The sequence below is a fragment of the Homo sapiens genome, chromosome 7, assembly GCF_000001405.40.
Source record: "Homo sapiens chromosome 7, GRCh38.p14 Primary Assembly".
NCBI classification, from domain to species: domain Eukaryota; kingdom Metazoa; phylum Chordata; class Mammalia; order Primates; family Hominidae; genus Homo; species Homo sapiens.
In genome coordinates, this window is record NC_000007.14 from 8,209,616 (window position 1) to 8,236,937 (window position 27,322).

Here is a 27,322-nt window from a genome sequence, read left to right on the forward strand (position 1 = left end):
TTACCTATTTGCTCATTTGATAAACATTTATTGAATATCTACCAAGTGGCAGGCTAAGAAGCATGTATAAAGTGCAACAGGAACAGTGCAAAAGGGTAACAGCCTTGCTTTGGGAAGTCGGCAAAGGCTCCCTGAGGGTCACGTGGCTTTAAATGATGCCTCAAAGTTTTACAGGCACAAAAGAGGGAGAAGGGAATTTCTGGTGGGAGAAACAGAGCCTGCAAAGGTCAGAGTGTGTTAAGAATGGGGTGAATGGCACAGATTTTAATGAGGCTGGAAACACAGGGTGTGCATGTATGTGTGTGGCAGCAGCAGGGAAGAGAGGCGGGAGGGAAATTATTCTAGAGGGAAGCTGGGGTTGGGGGAGGTAGGTCAGAGCCAGCCTGTGGAGGGCCTAGAAGGCCACACTAACTTTGGACTTGTCAATTGTCCAAGGAAGGGCCACAGAAAGTTATTAGCCAGGAGAAAGACATGATCACTTTATGTTACAGAATTGGACTAGCATTAGTGTGGAAAGGGGTGCCAATTATAGTCCTTTAAATTGAGGAAGATCCTAGCTCAGATAAGAGCACTGGGGATGAGAGGAGGGAACCAATTCAAGAGACACTTTGGAAGTAGAATTATTAGAAACAAGAGGCCTCCTGCATGTGGAGACTGAATAATGGTAGCAGCTGAGGATCAGCCTCTAGCTTGGGAAACAGAAAAGGATGTGAGAGAAATGTGCTTAAATGTCTGTCATTTTGGGGATGTGTGTAAATATATTTACTTATTTTGCACAAACGTAACTGAAAACTTTTCAGGACATAAACACATCATGAATATGTATTTATTTAAACTTAAATATTTCTCACCACGAAGTCGAACTAAAAGCAGAAATAATATAAAAGCTGTGAAAGTACATCCAGTAGGAAAGGTACAAATTAACAGACCACTATATAATTTCCTAGCCTATCCATTTATAAACGCAAAATTATGCTCAAAAGACAATTTTTTTTTCAAAGACTCCATCCAACTAAAAGTAGACCACAGAGGGGAAAAAAAAATCCCTGAACACAAAGGTGGGTTGTCTAACCATTATAGCCAAAGGAAAAAAATTTTTTTTAATGTTTTATTTTTTGAAACGGGGTCTCACTCTGTCTCCCAGGCTGGAGTACAGTGGCGTGATCATGGCTTACTGCAATCTCTGCCACCCAGGCTCAAGGGATCCTCACCTCAGCTTCCTGGGTAGCTGGGATTACAGACGTGCACCACCATGGGCCAAGGGAAATTTTAAAGCAAAATGTTCAAGGGATCCCAGGAGCTCCAGCGAGAGACAGGACAGGCAGCTAATCCTGGGTTGGCGGGACTCCTGAGACAGTCAGGCACTTTGGAAGTCACCTGCACTTTGGGTTGGAGGAAGGCCGCTGAATCGTAGAAGAGGAAGTCAGGAGTGGCCTGTCATACCTGGAGACTCCTGTGTGACAAACTGTCAGACAATCCAGAACGATAAACACCATTTACTCCAGCCCACATTGTGGGGGCAATCCAAGGCTGAGGCCAACCTCCCAGAGAACCCACAGCTGATTTACTTAGCATATGTGTTTTGCTGGATGTTAATTTTTTTTTTCCCTTGGAGATTCAGCAGTAAATATGGTAACTATAAAAAAGAGTTTCCATTATCTGAGAGCTTGCCTTGTGCCATGTGCCCTGCTAAGTACCTCCTGTGACTCATGCCCTCTAAAACTCACTGCCCCCCGGTGACGGGCACCTTCCTCAGCTCCAACCTGCAAGGGAGGCTTAGCGTGGTTAATGCGTTTGGTAGTTTGTCCAGCATTATGCCCTGAAGAAATGGATCTTCTGGTTTGTAGATCAGGTCTCATTCTACTCTGAGTACCATGGGCCCTGGATTTCATTTGTTCATAGTGCTCTGTAGGAGTGGGAGGAATGAGTGGTTTACATAGTGAGCTCTGGAATTGGACTGTCTGGGGCCAAGATGAAAATGTTCTACAGTTCCATTGCACAACAATGTAAATACATTGATCACTACTCAACTGGACACTTAAAAATGGCTAAGATGGCAAATTTTATGGTATGTGTTTCTTTTTACCACAATTAAAAAATTTTAAAACCTCACACTTTCTTAATCTCAACATGCACCAGAGGTACCTATAAAACAGCAGCCAGCAAACTGTTTTCTATAAAGGGGTGGCGAGTAAGTATTTTTAGCTTTGTGAGCCATTAGCCTCTGTTGTAACTGCTCAACTCTGCCATGGTATTGTGAAAGGAGCCAGACCACTTATAGTCCTAAGTGAATGAATAGGCATGGTCATGTTCCAATAAAACCTTTATTTACAAAAACAGGTGGCTGACCTGTGGGCCATAGGTTACTGACCCTTGCAAAAGTATTCATATATAAATAAGAGAAAAATATTACCCATTTGTAAATACCAAAGGCTCCTCTTTGAAAGTGTCCAATAAATTCACCCAATAATTATGCATGAAACATTCTTATTTTTTTCCAGAGGCTAAGATTAGAGCAACAGCAACAAGAGCAAGCAGACTCAGAAAGACCAGAACTTACTTGAAGTCCCAGGAAAACACCACATTGAAAAAAGTACATGTCAGTCCTTCTCCAGTATCGACACTTCTCTACAGAAGAGCTCAGTGATTTAGAAAAAAAAATACTAAGGCCAGGCACTGTGGCTCACACCTGTACTCCCAGCACTTTGGGAGGCCAAGGTGGGCAGATCACTTGAGGCCAGGAGCTTGAGACCAGCCTGGCCAACATGGTGAAACCCCATCTCTACTAAAAATACAAAAATTAGCTGGGTGTGGTGGCCCGTGCTTGTAATTCCGGCTACTCAGGAAGCTGGGGCACAAGAAATGCTTGAACCTGGGAAGCGGAGGTTGCAGTGAGCTGAGATTGCACCACTGCACTCCAGCCTGGGAGACAGAGCAAGACCCTGTCTCAAAACAAACAAAACAAAACGAAAAACTAAAAATGTTGCAGCTGGAAGAGGGCTCAGCAATCACCTTCAGTGGATGAGAAAACTGCAATAGGCCTATCGGACCTATCCAAGTGGTCACAGCTGGTGTCAGCAAGGGCGGGGACGGAGTGTAGCACCATCCTGACTCTGAGGTCACGCTCCTTCCTCCTCTCCATTTCCAGTCAGGAGCAGCAGCCAGCCAGCCACCAGCTCTGCAAGTTATCTGTTTCATGCATGTTATTTTAAATGGTCTTGGCTTCACCCTAAAGCTAATTTTTGCTATTTACCAAGTTCCATGGGGAAAATCAATAAAGATGAGGCTTTCATCCAAAGCCTCATCTCATCCAATTCAGAACTGGAAGCATGGGTGTAATTGTTTGTTCCCTTCCAAGTTGTGCCATGTGAAAACAGCAGGCTTTTCCTTCGGCATTCACATACTCTAAAAAAGCAGCAACCCACGGGTGGGGTTTGGCAGCTAGAGTCAATCTACTTGAATCCACAAAAAACAGGCACCCCAGTTAAACAACCAAACCCAAACAACAGGCACACAACAAAACCTACAAATGAAAATGGCGAGTTATGAAACAAATACATTTAAGAGAGCATTAGTTTTACAAAAGAAATTCTCCTCATAAAAGAACTCAATCCACTGTATAGAATTCTAGAATTAGCAGAGGAAGAGCAGATAATGGAATAAGCCCCCTACCCTACCTCCTTTATATATGAATTAAGCAAAGTCCTGAGAGATATTAGCGCTTAAACATTTAACACTGGTTCACTGTATGGATCCAAACTGGAAATGTTCCCCATTCACTCAACACAACTCACTGGCATAGGGGGAGGTGTCCCAGCCCTACCTTAGACACTGAAGTAAAGCAGAAACTGGTTTAATCCAGAGAGCTGAATGGCCCAGGCAGAAAGGAAAGGCCTTCGTCCTACAGCCTGAGATGGTTGAGCAGTGACACTCTTGCATTACTTAGTGTCTCCAACTCTCATGGGACCTGCCCTCAATTGCTAAAAGAGCCTGACCTCTGACAAAAACCAATGATTTCAGCAGTAATTAATGATACTGTCAAATTAATTAACCCAAGTCTTTGTTCACAGGAAACCCATCCCCCATATCAATACTGCTGTTTACCAGTCCTTGACCAAGTGCCATAGACCCAAACCTTCACAATCAGGACACCGGAGCACCACTGACTGATGGCCCTAATAAGGTCCCACCGAGTAAGCCACCAACATTTGTTAATAAACCTTCTCACCACATATCCTTTGATAATATGATTAGTGCATGAACAGTCTCCAAAACCTAACACTATTTTAAATAGATACGCACCTGCAAATACCAGTGAGTATCACTCATTTCCTATAATACCTTTTAGCTATCCTTTTGAATTATGGTGATGAAACACTAGACAAATGCTGTAGGATTTCATTAGCCGTTTAATAAATGGCCCTCATTAAAACACTGGTCCGCTTGTCCTTGTCTATGAGGACTCAGACTCCTATAAATGCCCACGTATACATTTCTATACTATCTCTTTAGAGGATTCAGGACTATTTTCTTACACCTAACACAGCTTTTATCCCATTTAGAATAATTACCCTCCATCCCATTTCTGACTTTCAAGAAAAACAAGACACTTAATTGACCACAGGAGGACTCTCTCAAGGGCATTCAGGCTGCGAAAGCTCTGCAGCAAGCTCACAACTTCAGCTGATGTAATCTGCTACAAGAAGCTGACTTCTACTTTTAAATCATACCCTTTTACTCTGCCTTCAAAGAGCACATATATCACACGTTGTAACTTTGCTCATAAAATACCTCGTGGTCTTGGGGTGAATCACGCTGTCAGGAGGAACTTCCAACTGCACACAGCTCAGCCCTGCCCCTTTAAATCCATCCACCTTTTCCTATTATGTATTTGGTCTTGAGAACAGCTATGTGCAGCCACACTCTCCAGGTATCCCGTCCCTCATGGTCATATTGACAAGGAGCAGATGCCTGGCAGGGTCCTTCTTGAAGGCTGGACTCACGCTTTCCCACCTCTTTGTATTTCCACCCCCGACACAGACACTTAATAAATGCTCTTAATGTTGATGTTGAGAGCTCTGTCGTCAGGCCTCTGTGCTTCACAGGGTGCCAGAAGGAAAACAGATTGCTTTGTTTAACTTCAGGTTTTTCATTCATCATTTCAGTCATGCTCACTGTGTGCTATTTAAAAGGTTTCTTGGCAATCTGAAGACACTATGAAAAAAGCCTTGGTTGGAAGTGAAAATACACTTGAACTTGCGATTTATTTATGCTTATTCTACTTATTTCTAAAGACAATGAAGAGCTCAGCAATTAAAGTGGTGCTACCACGGAATCTGGTAGAGGTCAGAACAGCCCATTTCTCTCTGGTCTACCTCCCCCTTCATTTCATGGTTACCTTATGTCTCATCCGGGTTTGTGTAAAAGCCTCCCAGTAGTTCTCCCAGCCTCCAAGCTTAGGCCCTCGCAATCCCTTCTCCACCTTACAAAGAACACAAACCTGATCATGCCTCCTGCCTTCCCTACACCCTCCCACTACTCCGTCCCCTTAGAGCGGTGTCTTTTCTATTCCAGTCCTGTCTCCCTTTCTAACCCCATGGTCAGGGCACCCCCATCTCCACACTCACCTCACCTTCTGTGCTCTGGTTCTAAGCACGCTGCTCCTTTCCCCTAAAAGGCCTTTCGTAAATTGCTTTCTCAGCCAGGAATGCTGCTCTGTTGCTTCTACTCCTTCTACCCAGCTCTTTCCTACCCATCCTTCACATTTTGTTTAGTGCCACCTCCTCCAGGAAGCCCCTTCCAGGAGCTCCTGCAGCACCACGTGCCACCATAGACACTACTGTTCACCATGCGCCACCACAGACACTACTGTTCACCATGCTGTACTATGTTTACTTGCTCTATCCACAGATGACTGCACAAGACAAGATGGCAATGATCAATCTGCCTCCTTACTGCTGTATTCCCCTGGATGCTGCCTGAACAGGGCCCAGCTTCAATATCATTTGTTGAATGGACAAATAAATGAATGAGTGGATACTAAGGAATCCAAATAGGGAGATCACATCCATGAGGTATGAATTAGAATTTTGTCTCCACCAGAAAGTGTGAACTCAAAAAAGAGAATTTATAGCAAAATACTACTTTAGCTCAGGATTCATCCTTTAAGACGTGAAGGTGGCAGCCGGCCCCGAGGAGACTGAAACTCCCCCTCCCACAGTCACTCCTGAGGAGCCACTTGCAGCTGGATAGCTCTCCTAGATGACTCAGAAACACGTTTAGGTAACACATCCCTGGGAGAGAAATGGAGACTCTGTTTAAAATGGAATCCTACTGGGACAAAACACTAAAGCTTGCTCAAAGTTAAATGTCATGTTGTAAACTCCAAGTGAAGGGAAAACTCCACAATTTAAATTCATTCTAAAGAGGGCAGCAAGCCTCACATTAATAACGCAACTTCTTACCTGCAAAACCACATAAGTCAATTTCCAAAACATCATGAGGTCAGCTGCAAATGGCGGGAATGCCCTACAGGTTTGAGAAAACATGGGTGTGGCACTTCCAAATCAGTGCCTGGAATCTTGTCATCTGTTATGTATGTGCTCATTTGGGGTCAAGTGCTGGACTGGCCCTGGGGTGATGGCTGTGAAGATCCCCAACATGGTTTCTGTCCTTGTGGAGAGTCTGGTCTAATCAAATATACACTTGAAGACAGGCTTATTTAAAAAAAGATTCTAAGTACACCATGTTTAGCTGTTAAATTGAATCCAGCACACATGGGATTGGGGAGTAAGGCTTCAGCAACTTCTGCATGGCAAAGGATTTTTTTTTAAAAAAACATGTTTTCCAAAATCAACAGACTGATGACACCAAGGAATGGGTAATGTTTCAACACTCAAACCAAATGACGAACGGGCTTGGTTTTTATTTCGTCCTTACAGTTAGTAACCACCCCCACAAAACAAAACCAAAAAAAAAATTCCACATAAAATTCTTCTGCCTTCCAGAATAATCATATATTTATCTTTATTACCTGGCACATAGGAGGTGTTCAATAAATATTAATTGAGTGAATAAATCACAAGAGAGGAATTAGTATGAAAGGCCTTTTTCAATTTTAGGTATTCTCTCTTAGAGAAGAAAATTATGTGTATTTTGAATGATTCTGACTCTCATTTACCTCTCTGATCTTGGGCTAATTTCCTAACATGGGTATCATTTTCCTCGCTTATAAAATAAAATCGGTGTCTTGGTTATTGTGAGGAGTAAAGGAGGCAACAGATACAAATGATAAGCACTCTGCCCTGCAGGCAATTTTTTTCACCCTCTTCATTCTCCTCAACCCTCAAATAAAGTGCTAAAGACAAACCAAATTATTGGCCTGATTAGAAAGTTAGAAAACTTCAAAAGTAGCCTGGGCTCACCAGCATCTAGCTAGCAATCCTTTAAAAATGTTATTTACAATTTTGGGGCTTTGATTTTTCTCTTCTATAAGATGAGCGAGTTTCACCAGAGGATCATGAGCAGCCTTTTTAGTCCTGATTTTCTATGATTCAGAAGCCTACCTTTTGAAGAAGTCAGATGTTGCTGACACATGAAGAACATCTGCGATCAGAAATAAAATGGACCCTGCTTTCTCTTCAGAGGGAAGGGTTCTAAATCACAAACCAAGATAAAACTTGACTTTAAAGAAATCAATCTATATCTAGGTCAAGAATTGGTGACCGTATTCTTAAGGACCAGAAGGTCCCTCCTTCCCTCCACCTCTACACAGCTAACCTCCAACGCAAGTGATGGTTCTATTTGTAGCTCTGCAATAATGTACATAATAAGAAATCTAGGGATTTTAAGCAATATCACAATTACAAATGGATCATTTGAAGTGAGTAAGACAGTTGACACAATATTATGTCAAGCCTAACATTTGGCTGATTCTTTTTTCTTTCACACTCTGAAATATATCCAGGCGACCAAACAAAGAACTACCAAGATTGTACACAACAAAAATCTCGCTGCATTTTCATAAATATTCAGTGTAAGACTGCCACCTAGTGGTGTGATGTATTCTTGTATGACAAAATCAAACTGCTAAATTGACACAATTAAAAAACCAACAAGATTGTTCTTTACTGCTCACCAAATCTTTCAGTGCATATCCAAATCTTTAAGAGCATAGCCATCTCTTCAGCCACATATTTTCCTCAGAAAAATTTCTGAGGAATGCTGCATGAGTTAACCCTGCAACTAAACCCCACTGCTTCTGAACATATCGCAAAACAAAGGAGCATTATTATTCTATTAATTTTAATATGCATTAGCGATTTTAAAAGATTTCCCCAGTAGTCTGTTCTAACCTCCCAGATTCATTTGATCTAATCTTGATTTTTAGTTATGCATGAAAAGGCATTTAAATGTGACAATCTTACAAAAAGTGCACATTATAAGAAAATCTGACTTCAATTAAAAGCAGTTATGAAATCCCAGCAATTTCCAGCTGTCTCTTCTATCTTATCCTTTAGAGAATTATGTATCACATTAATTGGTATTCTGTCACATAAAAAGACACCAGCGATGATTAATTGCATCCTTGGTGCTTTTGAGTTATGTCTTCTTCACCAGAGGGATTCAAATCACACCTCATTACCTTCCAGCAGGTACCCCTTCTGCTAACCCTCATAAAACCTCCTACCTTCCTGAACTTCTCCATTTGCTTGTAGAGGTCTGGATCAAGCTCCTGAGACACGTCCTTCATCCATAATAGTGCTCCTCTATATTCCGTCCTGCACTGTTCCATGCGGTTCACCGTCAGCCAAGTATCTGAGATGGCCCGATGCCGAAAAGTCTCCACTTCTTGGTGAAATCGACACAAAGGATTTCGTAAGGCCAACCTAGACAAGAGGACAAAGCCACACTCTCAAAACTAAGCCAGTGAGCAATTTAAATCCTTGACATTCTGCCAATCTTAGACTCGTGAGTCTAGAACAGTACCTGGAATGTAGAAGATGCTCCATCAATATTTGCTGAATAATAATCGAAATGCATGTAGTTCCAACTGATTAGTCAGCCAGAGAAGATTATCCATGTACCCATCCCTTAGTTTACTGCTACTAACTGGACCACTGGCAAGCACCTCCATCCGCGTTGTTGGGGGTGGTCTTGAGCCTGGGCTGAGTGCTCATTTGAAGCTGGGGCCAATCCCGTGTTCATGGAGGATGGCCAAGGCATGACCACTGCCCATTTCTACATTTGGCCCTTTGAGGAGGAATGGAGCGTATGTGATTAGCATCTCTCCGACTAGGCCATTTTAGATCACTCTCCAAAGGCCAAGGCATCTGCTGCTCACTCCAATAGTCACAGAGGAATGAAATATGAGCAGAAGCATTTTGAAATGGTATAGGAAGGGGGACCAGCACATTTACTGAGAGGCTGTCGTGTGTTAGCACTTTCAGATAGGTTACATGATTTAATCCTTGTTAAAAAAACCTTGAGGATACTATACCAGAAATGAAAGTGATGAAGTAGGTGTAAAATTATTATAATGTTGGCTATAACATATGCCCTTTACCCAGCCAAAAAACATTTAAGGCATATTAAACTTTGGATAAAATACTTATCTTGGGGAAAAACACTGCTTCTTCCATCTCCCTACCCAAAAATGAGCAATGTCAGATGAATTATACTCTTAAAATATACTCTTCTTCATGAAGTTTCAGGGCACAGGTGCCAAAAAATGAATATTTAAATTTCAATTTAAATGCAAACTTATTTAGCTAAAGGGAACAATGGTGTCAGTGAACTGAAGTCAGCTTTTGGAAATTCCATCAACGTCTGCAATGCCTTACGTGCGTGTAGCACGGTAAGATTACAAATGGTGCAATGAACTATTTAAGAAAAAATTTCCTTTTACTATTTCCCCTAGTTTTCTTCTTCTCTGTAAAGTATTGTTTTTAAATATTGAGTACTTGTATAAGAATAACCTGCTCACACTGTCCTACCTAGATGTTGCAGATTATTTTCAAAGACATTGTTGTGCCATAAAGTAAGCTTGTTATCCCTGTTGGTTTAATTTAATACTCACCTTTCATCAAATAGAATATATGGCTGTTGCAATGACTACCAAATAAGTCTGTAAAACAAACACTGGTGTGAAGGTTTGTGTAACTGATGACTTCTACTTAAAGACATCAAGAGTCCTCAGCTATCTCCCTAACTATTCTATTCATTTCTAGATTCTTTGTTTCTCTTCCTTTGCCTAAGAATTTTTCTCACTGAAGTTAGTGATAATTATATGTTTAACACATGACAACTTACTCTATGAAATATTTTTTTAGGAATCAATTATTCTTGCAAGGTTGGAAAAGGTCCTATATGCACAGAAAGTATCTATTAAGAGGTTAAAAGTAGATCATTTTATTAGTAAAAATTTTAGTTGCTTTTTAATTTTCACTTTTTGGTTTGTCTCTATTTTAAAATTTTTCTAGAATGAATATGTATTTTTACATAGAAAAATTATAAATAATACTAAATGGTAAGATTTAAGATGATAAACAAATACCTTTCTTGGGAAATGTGTGGAGAACTACTAGAAATGGTTTCATTCAAGCATAAAAGTTGGCATTGCCCCCAAAGTCAGGGTCCAAATGTCATCAGGAAGAACCAAAATGCCCAGGAGAAGGCATCACTGAAAAACAGACACAGCAGGTCTCTTTTTTCCTCCTCTTTCTTGGGTTTTCAAAGGAACAACCATGTACCATGCTGCTGGCCTGCTCTTGGCCCACACGGAGGGAAAGCAGCAAGGAGACATTAACAGAAGAAAATGTTGGACAATTTGAGTAAGTGAAATTTCTATAGCTTGAATATTTGTGGGAACTACCTACATTCTGCCTACTACTAGTGAGTGACATTTTGGGGGTTTGTTAGTTACTGGGAGAGAAGGGAACGAGGAGGAGTGTCACTTTTCTCAGGCGCAGAGAGTGACTGTGTGCAGGGGCTCCTGCTTATTTAACATCCACCATAAAAATGAGTCACGGTTGTGTTAAAAAAAAATGCCACTCATCTACCACAATTTTCCCTGTACCAGAGCTTCGCAAACTTGAATTTACATCAAAACAACAGCGGTCTAGTTAAAATGTGGATGTGGATCCTGCATGTCTGGGGTAGGGCCTACATTCTGCATTTCTAACACACTCCCGGGTTATGGTCCAGGGTCTGAGCAGTGTGGACCTGGGCATGAGAACAGCACCTCTCTGAAGTTAATTGGTCCACAGAGAGCAGAGAGGGAACCCTTCAACCTGGTCTCATTAGGCTCCTGCTTTAATCAGCTGCTGGAAGGGGACCAGACTGATTGCTACAAGCAACACTGAAGGTCAAACATAAGCCTAGGACAGCACTCATAGTGATTGACATATATAATGCCCCTACAGACCAACAGAAAAATGAAAAAAAATTTTTTTTAATTAATAGGGAGGAAAAAAAAATCCTATGTGTTAATCTTAATTAGAGAGTTAAGTACAAACTGCCTAACTAGTGAGTACAGAGCAGCTCCTCAGCCTCAGGCAAAATCCTTCTAAAGAACACTGTGAGATTCCCTTTCGTGAGTAGGTGGGTCCCGGAGTCTCCTCAGATCCCCCCAGATAGAACCCCACTAAAGGCCACACACCTTTGCTGGGAAGAAAAGCAGAGGGCCTTTCCTGTCGCTTGCATCATCTTTCCTGCTCTGGTTTTATCTTGGAAACCTTGGGATCGAAGAAATTTTCCCAGTTCGTTTTCTTCTTGAGACAAGACTGATGAAGAAAAGACCAAAAGGAGCCATGAACAATGAGCATTTTGATTGCAAAGGGAACAAGAAAGACAAATCACAAGGTCCTCTCTCTTCCAGAGGCGAAGACGAGATGAAATTAAATCTAAGCGGCAGGCTACAGGGTAAGCTCCCCCTACCCCCCATTTAACTTTCAGGCTGTTCTTCCATTTACAATACGAGAGATCAAATTCACTTGAATACATCTGTCAGTGAGTTTGGTGCCCTGTAATCAGAACTAGAAAATGACCTCTGTACTGAAACGTAAGCCCATAGTGTGCGGCTTCGAGCTGAAATAAAGGAGTTGGGTTTGTCAAGTATGACTGTGGGAATCTTTTGTGGCTGCCTAGGATGCAGTGCTAGCTGCCTCTCATTATTCTCTCCTGCTGACTTTTGATCTCTGCTTTTTGAGTTACATTCTATTCCATTGTAAAGCAATTCAAATACCTCAGCTGTGACACAGGTTTTTGGTTGGAAGTGGGGGTAGGGACGGAGGGTGGGGAGGTCATCAGGTTGATGACAGTGGGTTTTAAAAATACAGAGCTGGAACCAAATCTGAATTGGTGATGCCTAATCTTGGCCTTATTTTTAAAGACAACCTCAGATGGTATTATTGGTGGGTAAGTGATTTGGTGCAAGCTTTCTGCAGACTGATTTGACGGTAAACATTTAAAAAATCATAGAATTACATGTATCTTTGGACTCTCCATGTCTACTGTTAGGAGAACTTCCTAAGGAAGTAGCAAAATGGGCACAAAGATGTAAATGCAAAAACAATCATAGCATCATTATTTATAATAGTGAAACACTCTCCTTATACTAGGAACTAGTTTAATAAAATACAGCATACCCACATAATGGTACAGTGGGGGTCCTGAACACACACCAGCAGCCAAGCCACAGGCACCAGAGTGACACTTAGCTTCCTCGGATGTGCTTTCCCCCTAAACACAGCATTTACTATCAACATACTTTGAACACTACTTTTATTTCCTATTTCTGTATTGATGTATTTACATACCCTGTGTCTCTAAAACTGCTTTCTAAATGCTACTAGGATTCTTGTCAGCTTTCACAAACCAGTCACTTTTCTTTAAGAATGCACCCCCATTCCTGACATAATCTCACTAACAATAATTGTAGGACATTAGGCAGGAACCACAAATCCAAAGGTGAAGGCTAAACTCGATACTGCTACCTTATTAATTTGTGACTATAGTTTCACCCTAAACATTCCCTTGGGAAGGCCCAGTCAAGAAGAGGCTTTTAGAATCCATTTTTCCTGAGAGATAAATGATGACCCTGCTTCTCTTCTGTCTCTCAAAAATCAAGTTCACCATCAAAGGCCTGCTCGCAGGTTCCTTTCTCTGTGAAGCAATTGATCCCTATTTCTCCGGACAGCAGTGCTCTCTGGGCACCTGACTTAGCACTCACCTTGTGTGACTGGGCATGTGTCTCTCTTCCCCAGGGGGCTCTAAGCTTTCCAAGACAGGGATCTCACCCAAACTTTGTATTCCCCAGGCTGAGCATAAAGTCTTAAATTCACGGTGCTAATTAAATGCTTGTGAATTGAATTGACTACAATTTTGCCTTGTTATCCTCATACACTTTATTTCAGTTGAAATACTTATTGCCTTTTAATACTCACGCCATGGTTCTATGTAGCTTTTTAAAATTCCTATAATTATAAGAAGGTTTTTTGTTTTTTAATACATTCCATTCCTTCTCCTCCCCACTGATTAATATGTGCCTCACTCAATTCCACAATGAATCTTTCCCTATGGAAAGCAATGTCTCATTTTTGATCTTAATCGTGTGAGGCTACTGTCACCCTTTTTACCTTGAAGTCTCAAGTCACATACAAATGAATGCATTTAGCTTAAGGCTAGGAAGAAACCAATTTGTGGTACCTGAATAATTACATGGTTGACAAAATGTACTCTTTCCTAAATAAACCTAAGTAGGCTGAAACATTTAAAAATAATTTTCGGTCATTTTAGGCACTTGTGGATCAACTTGGGGCAGCAAACAGGTTTCATTTTAGGTGCTGACTCTGATTACTTGGCAATACTTACTCAGAGGGCAGTGGAAAGAAGTGTGAGCTCCATCAGGGTCAAGGTTAGATTTTCTGAGAAGGGATGGTCATTCTTTAATTTTAAAAATTCAAATACTGAAATTAACTTACAGAAGTTTAAAATTCAGGTATAACATAGGTATCAGGTAACGCAAAAGGGCTGAGTGTGGTGGTTCACACCTGCAGTCCCAGCACTTTTGGGAGGTAGAGGCAGGAGGATTGCTTGATACTAGGAGTTCAAGACCAGCCTGTGCAACATAGCAAGACCCCTGTCTCTATTACAAGAAGAAAGCAAAAACAAAAAAAGATAACTCAAAATGTTCTATTAATAAGGTTTCAATTATCTGGGACTTGAGAATTCAGAGACAAAAACATTTTTATATTTACTTGCTAATTAGGTTTTCAGATGTGCCGTTAAAAACAAGGCAACTATGGAACTATGAAATTAATTAGCTGGACAGCATTAACTCACTCAGCACAGATTTATGGATGATCCAACACATACGAGGCACAGTTCTTGCCACTGGAATACAGTGATGAAGAGGATAAAGGAGTTCCCCACACTTACAGAGCTTATATTCAAGCAGCAGGAGATAGAAAATAAAACATAATCACAAACACGAAACACAAAAAAGAAAAATACCAGGCAGAGCAATGAGAGATGGGGAGTTAAGAGTGAGCGGTCAGTAGGTGCCTTAGACAAGGTAATCAGGGAAGGCATCTCTGAGCAGCTGACCATTAGGCTGAGTTCTGAATGACGATAGCCTTGGGACTATGAGAGCAGGGACCTTCCAGGCAGCAGGAACACCCAGTGCAAAAGGCCTTGGGAGTTTGGTGGACAAGGGAAAAGGTGACTGAAGAGGTGAACTGGGGCCAGATCACGTCCTATGTATAAGAATGGGAGTCGGATTCCATTTTATGTGTTATTGGAGGCTTTTAAAAGTAGGGGAGCAATGTGATCCAATTTACATGTATTAAACCTTTTAGTTTGAAATAATGATAGACTTACAGAAAAATTACAAACAGTATATAGAGTTCCTGTATACATTTCCCTAACATCCCCTAGTACTTACTCTTCCCTAGCATCCCCTTATATTTACATTTTACATAATCATGGCACAATAATCAACATTAGGAAATTAACACTGGTATAATACTATCAACTAACCTACAGCCCTTATTTGAATTTTACCAGTTTTTTCATTGACATTCTTTTTCTGTTACAGGATCCAATCTAGGGTCTCACCTGGCACCAAAACATTGAGTGTCCTTAGTTTCCTTAAATCTGTGACCGTTCCTTAGTCTTTATCTTTCATGACTTTGACATATTTTAAGAGTACTGGTCAGATATTTTGTAGAATGTGCCTCAATTTGGTTTGTCTGATTTCTCAGAATTAGACTGTGGTTACAGATATTTGGGAAGGATACACAATGGTGAAGTGTCTTTCTTAGTGCACAGCATCAGAGGTTACATGACATCAGTGTTCCTCATCACTCATGATGTCAAGCTCAACCACTTGGTTAAGGAGGTATCTGCTGGGTTTCTCCACTGCAAAGTTAAGAATGTTTTTTTCCTTTTGTAATCATTACAGATCTTCGGGGGAATACATGAGACAATGCAAATGTCCATTTTCTCCTCAAACTTTCACTCACTAATTCTAACACTCTTCAGTGAATCTCACCTGTCACAATTCTCACTGTGGTGTTTGCCTAATGGTGATTTTGTAGTTCCCTCATTCTTTCTATTAATTAACTGAAATTATTTTATGAGAAAAAGCTGTCCCTTCTCCACCATTTATCTCTCTCTCTTCATATAGATTTAAGGGAAATTAATTTTATTCTATGGGTTATAATTCAAAACTGTCATTATTTAGTTTGTTGCTCAAATTGTGCCAGCTTTGATCACAGGTTTGCACCTGTGTCCTTTCAACATATCCTTTTTCAAGCACTTCCTTATGTTCTAGTGCTACAAACAATATAGGTGCATCTTGAATTTTCCCTGCCCCAATCCTAGAATCAACCACTTCTCCAAGGAGCATTTCTTTTACTGGGAAAAGGTATTTAGAAAGCAAGATCTGGGTGCCAGATGTACTCACTGCTATGGAGCGTTAGTGCTTCTAGGTCATGTCAGCTCACAGAAGCAGGAAATATATGAATGTACACTAACCCATGCATACACCCTCATCTGCATCTATTTCTGTATGTATCTATCTGTATAGATATTAAAAACAATGGCTTCATAGTGGCACCTTTGATGACAGTGCAACACCACAGTGTTCCTTCTAGCTTCTCCTTTTATCTGTAACTTCTTTCTAAAGTACAGAGTGAGAAACCTGGCTCTCATCATCTGCAATATCTTATCTATTCAACTTCAATATTTGCATAATGTAGTTTCAGCATTGCTAACCCATATTCCTATAAGAAACAAATTTACCAATGAGAGTACGGCTTCCATGTATAATTATTTTTGTGTTTAGCCTCAGTATCTAGTTAAAAATAATTATGTTCCAAAACTACTGAGGTTAGTTCTTTTTTTTTCTGATTCTGATCACTGTGACAATGTTATTCATTTATAATGCAATCAGGTTCATTTGCTACTGTTTGTATTCCATTTTAGATTTTCCCACATCTGGCTGGGTTTAAGTATTTTTTGAGTCTATGAAATGTTACTATGGTTTTATGAATCAGAGCTATGGGAAGGTATCTCATAGCTCCCTCTTCACCTTTGCTCCTCCATTCTCATTCCCTCCTCTCCAACCCTTCCCCACTCCTCATCCACCACTGGTATCCAGTCTCTTTCGTTTCTGGTTTATCCTTCCTAAATTTCCTTTGCACAATGAGCAGGCTTGCTCTCTAGATATAGATATAGATATAGATGGTAAAATGTGATGCAATGTAAAAAAATGGTAATACACACACTCTCCATATATTACCTTTTTTTACATTTATATTTTATATCACCTTCTTGCTTGCATGAAGGATAGCATACTATAGATACGCTTTTATGTTTTGCTTCTTTCACTTAAAAGCATATCCTCCAAATCACTCCATATTAGTTCACAGATTTTCCTCATTTTTGTGTCTTTGACAGCTACATAGCAACATCCTCAAATTAACCACACTATTTTTAGTCTTCCATCAAAGTTGGGATCTCTTTCAAGTCCACACAGGGCAGAACTCCTCCTTCCTGTCTCTGCTGAGATGGCATGGCTCATGTGAGCTTAGCGGGTAGACATAAAAGGGCTTATCTACCATCCACAGCCAGCTCTGCTGGCACAACCAGGTGACTGCTTCAACGGTGGGGACATTATTCTAACCCTTTATATTACAAGATAATTATGAGCCTTCATGGTGTTCAACTATAATTCTATTAACTAATCTGAGGTGGTTTAGGGGGAAGTTTTTCCTCTATATTCTTTTAGAAACACTAATATACGTAGGAAGCATAATTTCTGTTTAGAGAATCACTATTTACAGGAAATATGCAAGCATCCTTCTTTTCTTCCCTTGTTACAATATATATTGTTTAATGAAAAGTGGACACACCAACTTCATGTGACTTACTTAAAAAAATAAAGTTACAATTTTCTAAATTATTTTGTTTTCTACCATAACAATGAAAATGATTCATTTCATGGTGAGTGCTAGGGGGATGGTGGGTATAGTAAGAAGGAGTTTGACCAATAGTTTCCAGAACACAAGGTTTAAGCCAAGGAAGAATCTGATCGGGTTTAAAAGTGTACTTTGATTGAAAGCAGTGCAGACAATAGGCTAGAGAAAGCAGAGGTGGAGGCAAGATCAGTGAGGAAAATGGTTAGTAAACCAAGTGAGAGACTAATGGTGGTGGCCTGAACCAAGGTAGTGGCAGAGAAGATGGAGAGAGGAAGGAGAATCTGCGAGCTATTTAGGAGGCAAAATACCAGCATTTGAGACTGACTGAATGTGGGGAAGATAAATGGGGGAGTGGCGGTCATGTGTCTTAATTTGCTCACAGATCAAGACCTGGAGGTGGAGCCCTGGAGAAGTCTTACCTCAAACACTTAGGAAATACTAACATAGATAATTTATAAAATACTGCCTCTACATACAATGATTTTGGACTTTCCTGAAGTAGTTGTCTTTTTTTTTTTTTTTTTTCTAAGAGATCTCACCTTCTGTCGCCCAGGCTGGAGCACAACGGCTCATTATAGGTCACTGTGATCCTCCTGCCTCAGCCTCCTGAGTAGCTGGGACTGCACATGCACGGTACCCGGATAATTTTTAAGTGTTTTTATTTTTTGTAGAGATGGGGGTCTCACTTTGTTGCCCAGGCTGGTCTCAAACTCCTGGCTCCAAGTGATCCTCCTGCCTTGGCCTCCTAAAATGCTGGGATTACAGATGTCAGACAATGCACCCAGCCTACCAAAATGATTGTCTTAATAAAATATTACTGATGTAGAAAAATGACCAATTATTAATTTGTGATTACTGAAAAGGGGTTTGGCAGCAGTCAGCAACAGAAAGACTTCCCATAGTCTAGTCTCAAAAATATATACATTATATTATTAAAATGACCTACAAATGGAAACTTAAAAATGTACAAACACATAATTGATATTTAGTATTTCAGAGATAACTTTGTTGTTAATGCTTTTAAAACAGTGTGACTATATGAAAATATTGTTCTGTAGGAACCTAATATCCAATGCAAAAAACATTCATGAAGAAATGTTGTCAACAAAATGTCATCAACAAATCAACTGTATGTGCCTTCTGTCTCTTATCTTAAAAGGAACAAAATTGGATATCAGAGAGTGAAGATAATCACATTAAAAAAAAACCTGAAGGTAAAAAGCCCAAGATACAAACTGAGAAAACTCTTTTATAATTGGGAAAATAAATGGCATGTCCATATCCATGGGAGATCCAAACAGAATTCTCCTAATATGATACTTGCTTTGAAAGATAAATAAGCTATGTATATTATTGGTAAAATTATTAGAGACTCTCCTCCCAACGCCTGAAGACACAGACAAACACTCTTAGTTTCCTAAGCATATGAAATGATGTATCAAGACAAAATACCCTGCTATTTCTTACTATTTGATCAATATTCATACTGATGTCATACTTACAACATATCCTCTTTTGATAGAGTACAATTGCTTTCGATAAGTCCAGACAGGTTCTCTGAATTGAATGAAACAGCTGTAATAAAAATACAAACAAAATGCAAAATAAAACAGACAGTGGTGAGATAAAAAATAATTACATTGAACACAACCAGAGTGTTCAATTTGCCAAAAACAAGACCACATGTCTAAGTATGCTTAGTGTTATGCGGTGTACTATACAGAAACTGTGACCAAAGCCTTTAAATATCTCCTATTATTCTGTATTTATTGGAATTCATCATCTCTGTGATCTAAATTAAGATCTGCAGAACAGTTATTTCTCCCAGTCTACTGAAATAATAGCTGAAAAACAAAAAACAGACATCCTAAGTGAAGGGCCTAGTTAGAGGACTTGGTAAACCAGAGACCCAATATTCATTCATAATCAAATTTATTCCTTTCACCACTTGCTGTGGTTTTTTTTTAATGGGGGATCTGTCAATTAAGCATATTTAAAAGATGACGTTAACTTATTTTGTGATCCTAATGTATTTTATGGCATGCTTAAACAACTGGATAAAGCAAACAAAATCAATCAGCTGGATGTCCTGTCTATTTAGAAAACATCTGATAAAATGATGTTGGGCAAGCAGTCCCCATCACTCCTTATTTTCCCAACAATTTCATAAACCATACAGAGAGAAAATATAATGCCATGCTGTGGCCATACTAGCGGAAACTGGGGGATAGGCAGATGGGGCTGTGCTGAGAAGAATCTAACTTGATTTCAATGCGTGGCGGTTCCAGCCTTTGTTTCAGAAACTGAGATAGCTCAAGAAAAGACAGAACAGACTTCACACTTTCTCCACCCTTTGCCCACTAACTTAGGGACCAGATATGGTATCAATGAGAAAACCTGGAAGATAAACATCTTGCCTCTGTAGAGCCACTCAGTAAGGCAGGGCAAGGTTTTCCCTCTTTCTCTCTCCTAGTTCACTGGCTATGGTGGTGCAGAAATTATATATTGGTATCATAAAGCACTTCTACATTTGCGTGAACACAGATGATCTGTTTCATTATAAATATGACTAAATTAATAAAAACAGATGCATGCATATATACTTAAAACATTAAACCATTTCTAGGAATGCTTCATATAAAACTTGGTTATAAAGAATATAAATTTGCTAATTCTCATTTTGTTAAATTGCATCTTCCACCTGTTTAGTAAAGAGCCATAAAACAAAAGAGAAAATCAGCAGTCTGAATCTGTCCCTTAGCAAGTGTTTTATATCAGTATTCTGGATCAAAACCCACTAACACATAGTATTTCCTGAATATAGGAGCAAGGACGTTCAAAAAGTATGTTTAGGAGTTGTTCTGTTGTTACTGTTCACTTTTTAAAAATTGAGGTATAAATTAAATGCACTACAGTGCACAGCTCTGGAGTGTTCAGTTCTGTGAGTTATGACAATTATATATACTAACATAATCATGCCCAAGGCAAGATAAGAAACATTTCCATCATCTAATCAGTCCACTCTGCTGTGGCACAGTGACTCTGGCAAGAAGACTTCTGTCAGCAGAGATTACTTTTGTCTGTTATTGTACTGAAGAGCTGTTTTTCAGAAAAGGATTTCATTAGCAAGCAACGTGGACAAATATTAAAACTCAGCGCAATATTTCTATATTAACTTTCCAACAGATTGCAATAGAATCTGACCAATATTATAGCTTGGAACACAAGTTTTCTGTGCCAGAAGAATAAAACTTCTTGGTTTATAAGTTAGCCTTCTATGGATAACTCAAGGTACGAACATCAAAGAGGTTTTCACATCATTTTTGTATATTTCATGGATGGAATCCATCCTCTCTATAAACATCAACATCAGTATTAACATTTCTGCAACAGAAACCTCTATCATGTGCTAAATTATTTGTCACAGCTAAGTACAATGGATGCTACATACCTAGGACAGCAGCTATTTTGATTAAGGTACATTTGGTTCAGCCAAAATATAATGTTTAATATATTTGTAATTAACATATTAAATTACCTTTTGAATAATGCATGTATTTACTAGGTTCTTAAGAAGAAAATACTATGAGATATAAAAAGCATATATGCTTATAATAATTTACACTGTACTTAGAATATAACAATCGAAACAGATGCTTCCTGGTTCTACTTTCCTCCATTGCAGAAATCTCCATTAGAACATCCTTGTCAAACCCAGTTTCTATTTCAAAATTTCCAATTGCAGAAGGAAAGGGCTGAGAACTGATATTAATTGCACTAACACATACCCTTATTCAGTTGGTACTTATTGAATGTGTATTCTATGTGTGGCTGGGGATACGTCGTGAATAGGCTAACATGGAATTTGATCTCATAGTGGAGGGAAGGTGGGCAAACAGATGAACACCTGAGATAATTCAATGAGAGATGAGTACTACGAATAAAATAAAACATGGCCAGGTGTTAGACAGTGAGCAGGGGTGGGGTAGGTGGGGAGCAGGGGTGGACAGGCAGTGACTCGAAACAGCGTGACCTTTAGGCTGAAACCTGAACTATGAGAAGGGAAGATGTGGGGAAACAGTGTCCAGGTGGAAGCCAGCAAATGCTCTGATGGGTGTGAACTTGGCTGGTTGTGGACTGAGAACTGAGACAAGGCCATCATAGCTGGCTGGTGGTGAGGGCAATGTAAGCGTGTGGGAGAGAGGAAATGCAGGATGGGGAGGCAGGGCCAGTGGGTCAGGAGCTTTGCTATGTACTAGAGATACCATATGGAATGCAGTCTAAATGGTTCCTGAGACATAAAACACACTCATAAACATTAATTATTAATAAACATTAGTCATGTTTATAAATATGTTAGTATAATATTTATAAACACTAATAAACCTTAGCCATCACTCTGTTACCTACTTTAATCTTGATAATAGCTGTAATAAGTAGGTATTAATATCTCTATTTCATGCATTAAGAAAACGAGGATATGAGAAACTGGGTATAGTTCTCCTAAAGTTACAGCAGATAGTAGGTACAATAGTAGCCCAGATCCATCTCACAGGGTTAGTCCTAACCTCAAAGGCAGCCCAGTTCTCACGGGGCAGCCTTAACATTACAAAGTTCTTCCTGGGTCTGGTCTACCCTCATGTGCTTAGAATCAATCTCATCCCTTTTCACATGACAGTAATTGACAACTAACATTTCCCCTTAACCCTCTCTGATGTAGAATAACTATGGTTTCCACCATTCTGGACACTCCGAAAACTTTTTGAAATCTTGGGCTTTTTTAGTCCCATTAAATGTTCAGTTCATTAACCTTAGTGTATATATTAAAATCTGAGTTCATTTTGAATCCTTATCAGACCATCTAAGATATTATTCCTCTCAGTGCCCTGTTATTTATAGAAATGATAGGTATGCTTTCAAAATTTTAATCTAAACTATTGGCAGAAATGTCCAGCAAGACAGGGAGTTAGTTAGTGGGCCTTCTTATATTAATATGCTAGATCAACCATATCTAAATCCAGCTTACTATATTGTTAACTAGTCTAACTAAATATCTCCTTATTCATTTTAGAATTTTCCAGGGTCCAATACAAAACTTATTAGACTCTACTTTCCACGACGTTTTACCTGAGTTCTTCTTTTAAAAAAATTTAACATTTGCCAGATTCTAGTGTTCTAAATCTGACTCCTCAGCTCTGACCAGCAAGCAGCAGCTCTTTGACTGCATTCCTTTTCCCAAGAAACGCTTACTGAGAATTTACCACAGGCAATACATGGCGACTATGTTCTTAAAATACAGAGTAACTGAGGCATGGTGGTTATGTGAGAATTTGCAGGTTTTAATAAATATGCTGGGATTGAGTTTACCTAATCCTAGATTTTCCTCATTTTCAAATACAAAGCACACCCAGCTCTGCCTCAGTGAGTATACTCTAGGACCTTGATCCTAGCAAGGTGGCTGTGTTGGGGCTGACAGCAATAAAGAGCTCACCTCTAGCTTGGCATCCAGGTCCGCGTCAGAGGCAACAACATGTTCATCTTCCTTCTTCCCTGTGGCTTTAATAAAGGCCTGCTTCGTCTCCCAATATTTCTGTTGCATCTTATTTACAACTGACTTATCTTGAGCATATCGATCCTGTAAGTCCCAGGGATAACTGCTAAAAACATTTAAAGAACTATTTTATTCACACCTTTCATAAAGATTAAGATATTTTAGTGTGAAATGATTTCTTTAAACATGACTTTCCATTATGCATTTACATTTACAACATTGATAAACGTATGAGCACTTTCTTATCTGGGTGTTACACCAAGGAAGTTCATCAACTCTTTCTGACTCAAAAACCTTAAAAGTCAGAGTGGAGAAATTTAGAATCTTTTGCAGGAAATAAAGAAACTAACCCTTGAAAAGAATGTAGATATAACAGACTAAGCACACCCCTTTTAGAGGTGGAGACAGTGAGATCAAGCCAGGCAGGGTGACTGGCCCAAGTTACCTCAGTGAGTCAGAGATAAAGCCAGACACCAACACACTCTCTCCACTCTAACACTACAGCCAACACTGAGGTGATGGCAGGAAAGCAGAGATAAGAGGCTGAAGAACAGCATGCCTAAGATCTGTTACAGAGAAATCTAAAATAGTCAAACTCACAGAAGCAGAGAGTAGAATGGCAGTTACGAGTGGCTAGAAGGTAGGAAGAAATGAGAAATTACTATTCAAGGTGCATAAGGTTTCAGTTATGCAAGATGAATAAGCTCTAGAGATCTGCTGTGTGACATGGTGCTTATTCTTGGTATTTTTTTTTTTTTTTTGAGATGGACTTTCACTCCTGTTGCCCAGACTGGAGTGCAGTGGCGTGATCTCAGCTCACTGCAGCCTCTGCCTTCCAGGTTCAAGCGATTCTCCTGCCTAGGCCTCCTGAGTAGCTGGGATTATAGGCACATGCTACCACGCCCAGCTACTTTTTGTATGTTTTTAGTACAGATGGGGTTTCACTATGTTGGCCAGGCTGGTCTCCAACTCCTGACCTCAGATGATCCGCCCTCCTCAGCCTCCCAAACTGCTGGGATTACAGATATGAGCCACCGCGCCCAGCCCCATGGTGCCTATTGTTAACAATACTGTATTGTGCACCTAAAATTTAAGACGGTTGACTTCATGTTAACTGTTCTTACCACAATAAAATAACAATAAAATAAATTTAAAATTGGTTGCAGGCTTCTGATGTTAAAAACTTTAAACTCTTCCATATAAATGCTTAAAATATAGATGAAAAGCCATTTTTCAGGAGGATCACAGTGAAGAGCAAATCAAAAAGTATGTGGAGAAAAAATTAGAAACTGGCCGGGCATGGTGGCTCATGCCTTTAATTCTAGCACTTTGGAAGGCCCAGGCAGGAGGACTGCTTGAGGCCAGGAGTTTCAGATCAGCCTGGGCAACATAGTAAAACCCCATCTCTACAAATAATTAGTCAGGTGTGGTGGCACAGGCCTATGACACAAAGCTACTCAGCAGACTGAAGTGGGTGGATTGTTCAAGTCCAGGAGTTTGAGGCTGCAGGGAGCCGTGATCACACCACTGCACTTCATCCTGGGATACGGGGCGAGACCCTGTCCCTCAAAAAAGAAAAAAGAGAAGAAAAAAGAGAAAAGAAACAAAAGTAATTGAAAATGAAATGGAATTGTGTAAAAGTGATTGGAGTACCCCAAATATGGCTGGAAAGTTTGCTGATGGAGTTCCATCCCTCCCCTTGCTTCGTCCACATCCTCTTTGGACCTAGAGTCCCTGCCCCAAAGGCTCCCCTGACCCCCCCAGGCAACTCTCCTCTGTGGAGATGTACTTTCCTCTACCCCATCCCATCACCACCCAAAATGTGCCAGGCTTGTGCTGAAACGTGAGTTTGTTTATATGACTATATCAAAATACCAGTATCTCAAAACCTACTTTCCTTCATTTACAATTTCATTAAGTTTACAATTTTCAATTTACACATTTATTCTTAAAAAGCCAGAAGGCATTTCTGATGACTTCCTTAACAATGGTTATCTTTGGAGAGAGAAGTAGGATTATGGGAGACTTTCATGGTCTACTTTATATCTTTCTGCATTATTTAAAAGTCGTATTATGAGCTCATATCAGAGAAAATAAGATAATGTATAAAACTTATGTAAAAGATAATCTCTCTATAGAATATGCACATTAAAAGGTTGGAAGGATACACTCCAAAGACTGATTATTTTAGGGGAATGGCATTCTCAAGAGTGGGCCATAGAATGGATTTCTTTGGCCGGGCGCGGTGGCTCATGCCTGTAATCCCAGCACTTTGGGAGGCTGAGGTGGGCAGATCATGAGGTCAAGAGATCGAGACCATCCTGGCCAACATGGTGAAACCCCGTCTGTACTAAAAATACAAAAATTAGCCAGGCGTGGTGGCACATGCCTGTAATCCCAGCTACTCGGGAGGCTGAGGCAGGAGAATCACTTGAACCAGGGAGGCGGAGGTTGCAGTGAGCTGAGATTGCACCACTGAACTCCAGCCTGGGTGACAGAGTGAGACTCCATCTCAAAAAAAAAAAATGTATTATTATAATTAATTGTGCATTTGAAAAATATGTAACACATTTGTTTTTCATGATACAAATTAAAGAAAATAAAAGTTCACAAAGATCTGCTTGCTTGGTGGGTCATGGGTTCAAAAGAATTTGGAAACACTGCTTGAAGAGCTCTGGACCTTACAAGAGGTTTAACATGCTGCTCAGATATGTTATAGGCACATAAATGTCAGCGCTAACATTGCCAAATGGTTACCACATCTACTTTATTCAGCATCATTTACTTTTGACAATAATTGGCTCCTGAATGTTCAGGAAGGTTGAAGTCATGACTCTAAATTAATAAGCACGAGTCGTGTGTGGTTGTAGAATCATTCTTTATTTTATAGCTACCCTAACATAAAATTCCCTTGTAACTCTAATGTTAGAAGTTATAAATAAGATAGTAATAAAAACGCATCAACTCATTACATTAGACAAAATGGTGGTAAGAAAAACTATCAGTAGGTTCCCAAGAGAAAAGTTACACATAAATGAATTTCTTAGAGAATGCACATTAGGTAAGAATTTACAATATTTTTGTTACTTGGTTTTCACACCATATTTAACAGAGATACTGAATTTGGCTCAGCATTGGTGAGGGCTAACATGATACTTACTGCCAATGTATCTCTTGTTTTTCCATTCAATAGATGTTTATTGATCATATGCTATATGCTTTCTACTTTCCCAATTCAGAAAAGATGACAAATTACTTACCATTTGTGTCCTGACATGTTTTCTTCTTCTTCTATTGTTGATGATTTGGGGAGAAGGGGCAGGAAAAAAGCATGAGAGGATAAGTTATATTATAACCTGAAATAAAACAAATATGTTTAATAGTTACACACCATATTATAGTTACATATTAATGTGACACACATAAAAGCCTTCAACCTAAGCCATTTCTAGCTGTATTTTAGGGTCTAACACTGTTACACAGTAATGCTGCACACTGGTGATGACAACAATATAGCTAAGTAACACTGGAAGAAATATTCCAAATAAAGTTTAAAAAGTGAACAGGCAGATTGAATGAAAAAGCAGGTTGCAGAAGACTACATAAAATATAATATCATTTATATAAAGCTTAAAAATATGTAAAACAATACTATATGTTGTTGAGGTATACAATATTATAAGGTGAAGGTATAAAGAATTGCTTAGGAATGATGAACACTAAGTTCCAGACAGCAGACCACGGCAGGAGATGGTGTGGGATGTGATGTGAGAGAGATATACAGCAGCTTCAAGTGCACACATAGTGTTCTCTTTGTGAAGCTAGGTGGTGAATATATTGCATCTGTATGCCTCCTTACAGATTTGAAATATTTTATAATCAACATTTTTAAAGAAACAAACCAGCACATTGCAAAAATAGAAACAAAAATAGAACAAAATTTTAAAACCCCAAATAAAAACCAAAAAAGGGTTGATATGCTTGAATAAGATAGCAAGAAGGGCACAAAGGTGGAAAATAGGTATCTACCAGCCTAGCCTTGTATATTTATCTCGTTAGTAAATACTGGAGTCAATGTCTCTGCCCTTACTCCATTTGCTCCACTCATGGAAGCTAGCCCACCCCAGGGCCCACCAGCCCAGCCACATTAGCCCACTTGCCAGCAGTTACTGGAAAGAACAGAAAGCTCACTACTCAAAGGAATGGTCACTGGCCAGAGGCAAAACCTCTAGCTGCCAGAGTGAGTGCTCACAGCATATGAATGCCCAGACTGCTTCACAAAATCAAT

General features: G+C 39.7%; 1 protein-coding gene and 1 long non-coding RNA gene across 39 annotated transcripts in view, besides 2 other annotated features; one reads left to right on the forward strand and one right to left on the reverse strand.

Annotated features, from left to right (window-relative positions):
* The window catches only part of ICA1 (islet cell autoantigen 1), a 149,372-nt gene that overhangs the window by 96,432 nt on the left and 25,618 nt on the right, over nucleotides 1–27,322 (reverse strand). For 11 of the 38 annotated variants that reach the window (NR_146927.2, NR_146929.2, NM_001350831.2 and 8 more), the window contains exons 2-6: nucleotides 26,295–26,390; nucleotides 22,975–23,140; nucleotides 18,986–19,058; nucleotides 11,660–11,783; nucleotides 8,690–8,888 (exon numbers count right to left, since the gene is read on the reverse strand). Coding sequence is in view for 31 of the 38 variants with exons in the window: in NM_001350831.2 (NP_001337760.1) it covers nucleotides 8,690–8,888; nucleotides 11,660–11,783; nucleotides 18,986–19,058; nucleotides 22,975–23,140; nucleotides 26,295–26,311 (579 nt within the window). In the remaining 7 variants the exon portion in view is untranslated. Of the gene's footprint in view, nucleotides 1–3,823; nucleotides 3,916–8,689; nucleotides 8,889–11,659; nucleotides 11,784–18,022; nucleotides 18,237–18,985; nucleotides 19,059–22,974; nucleotides 23,141–26,294; nucleotides 26,391–27,322 lie in introns of those variants that run through there. The other 27 variants (NR_146928.2, NR_146926.2, NM_001276478.2 and 24 more) reach the window with 7 other exon arrangements.
* Nucleotides 185–6,036, forward strand: LOC124901587 (uncharacterized). Its single transcript, XR_007060207.1, has 3 exons — nucleotides 185–226; nucleotides 4,071–4,193; nucleotides 5,911–6,036. It is a non-coding gene; the product is annotated as an uncharacterized LOC124901587 (long non-coding RNA).
* Nucleotides 5,324–6,523: an enhancer, noted in NCBI's record as "CDK7 strongly-dependent group 2 enhancer chr7:8254569-8255768 (GRCh37/hg19 assembly coordinates)". NCBI's record gives its function as "activates an origin of replication core promoter dependent on BRD2, BRD4, P300/CBP, MED14 and CDK7 cofactors, with strong dependence on CDK7, by STARR-seq in HCT116 cells {active_cell/tissue: HCT116}" and the evidence as "EXISTENCE:reporter gene assay evidence [ECO:0000049][PMID:35650434]".
* Nucleotides 11,877–12,433: an enhancer, noted in NCBI's record as "OCT4-NANOG-H3K27ac hESC enhancer chr7:8261122-8261678 (GRCh37/hg19 assembly coordinates)". NCBI's record gives its function as "activates a minimal SCP1, AML or CMV promoter by ChIP-STARR-seq in naive H9 embryonic stem cells {active_cell/tissue: H9 hESC(naive)}" and the evidence as "EXISTENCE:reporter gene assay evidence [ECO:0000049][PMID:30033119]".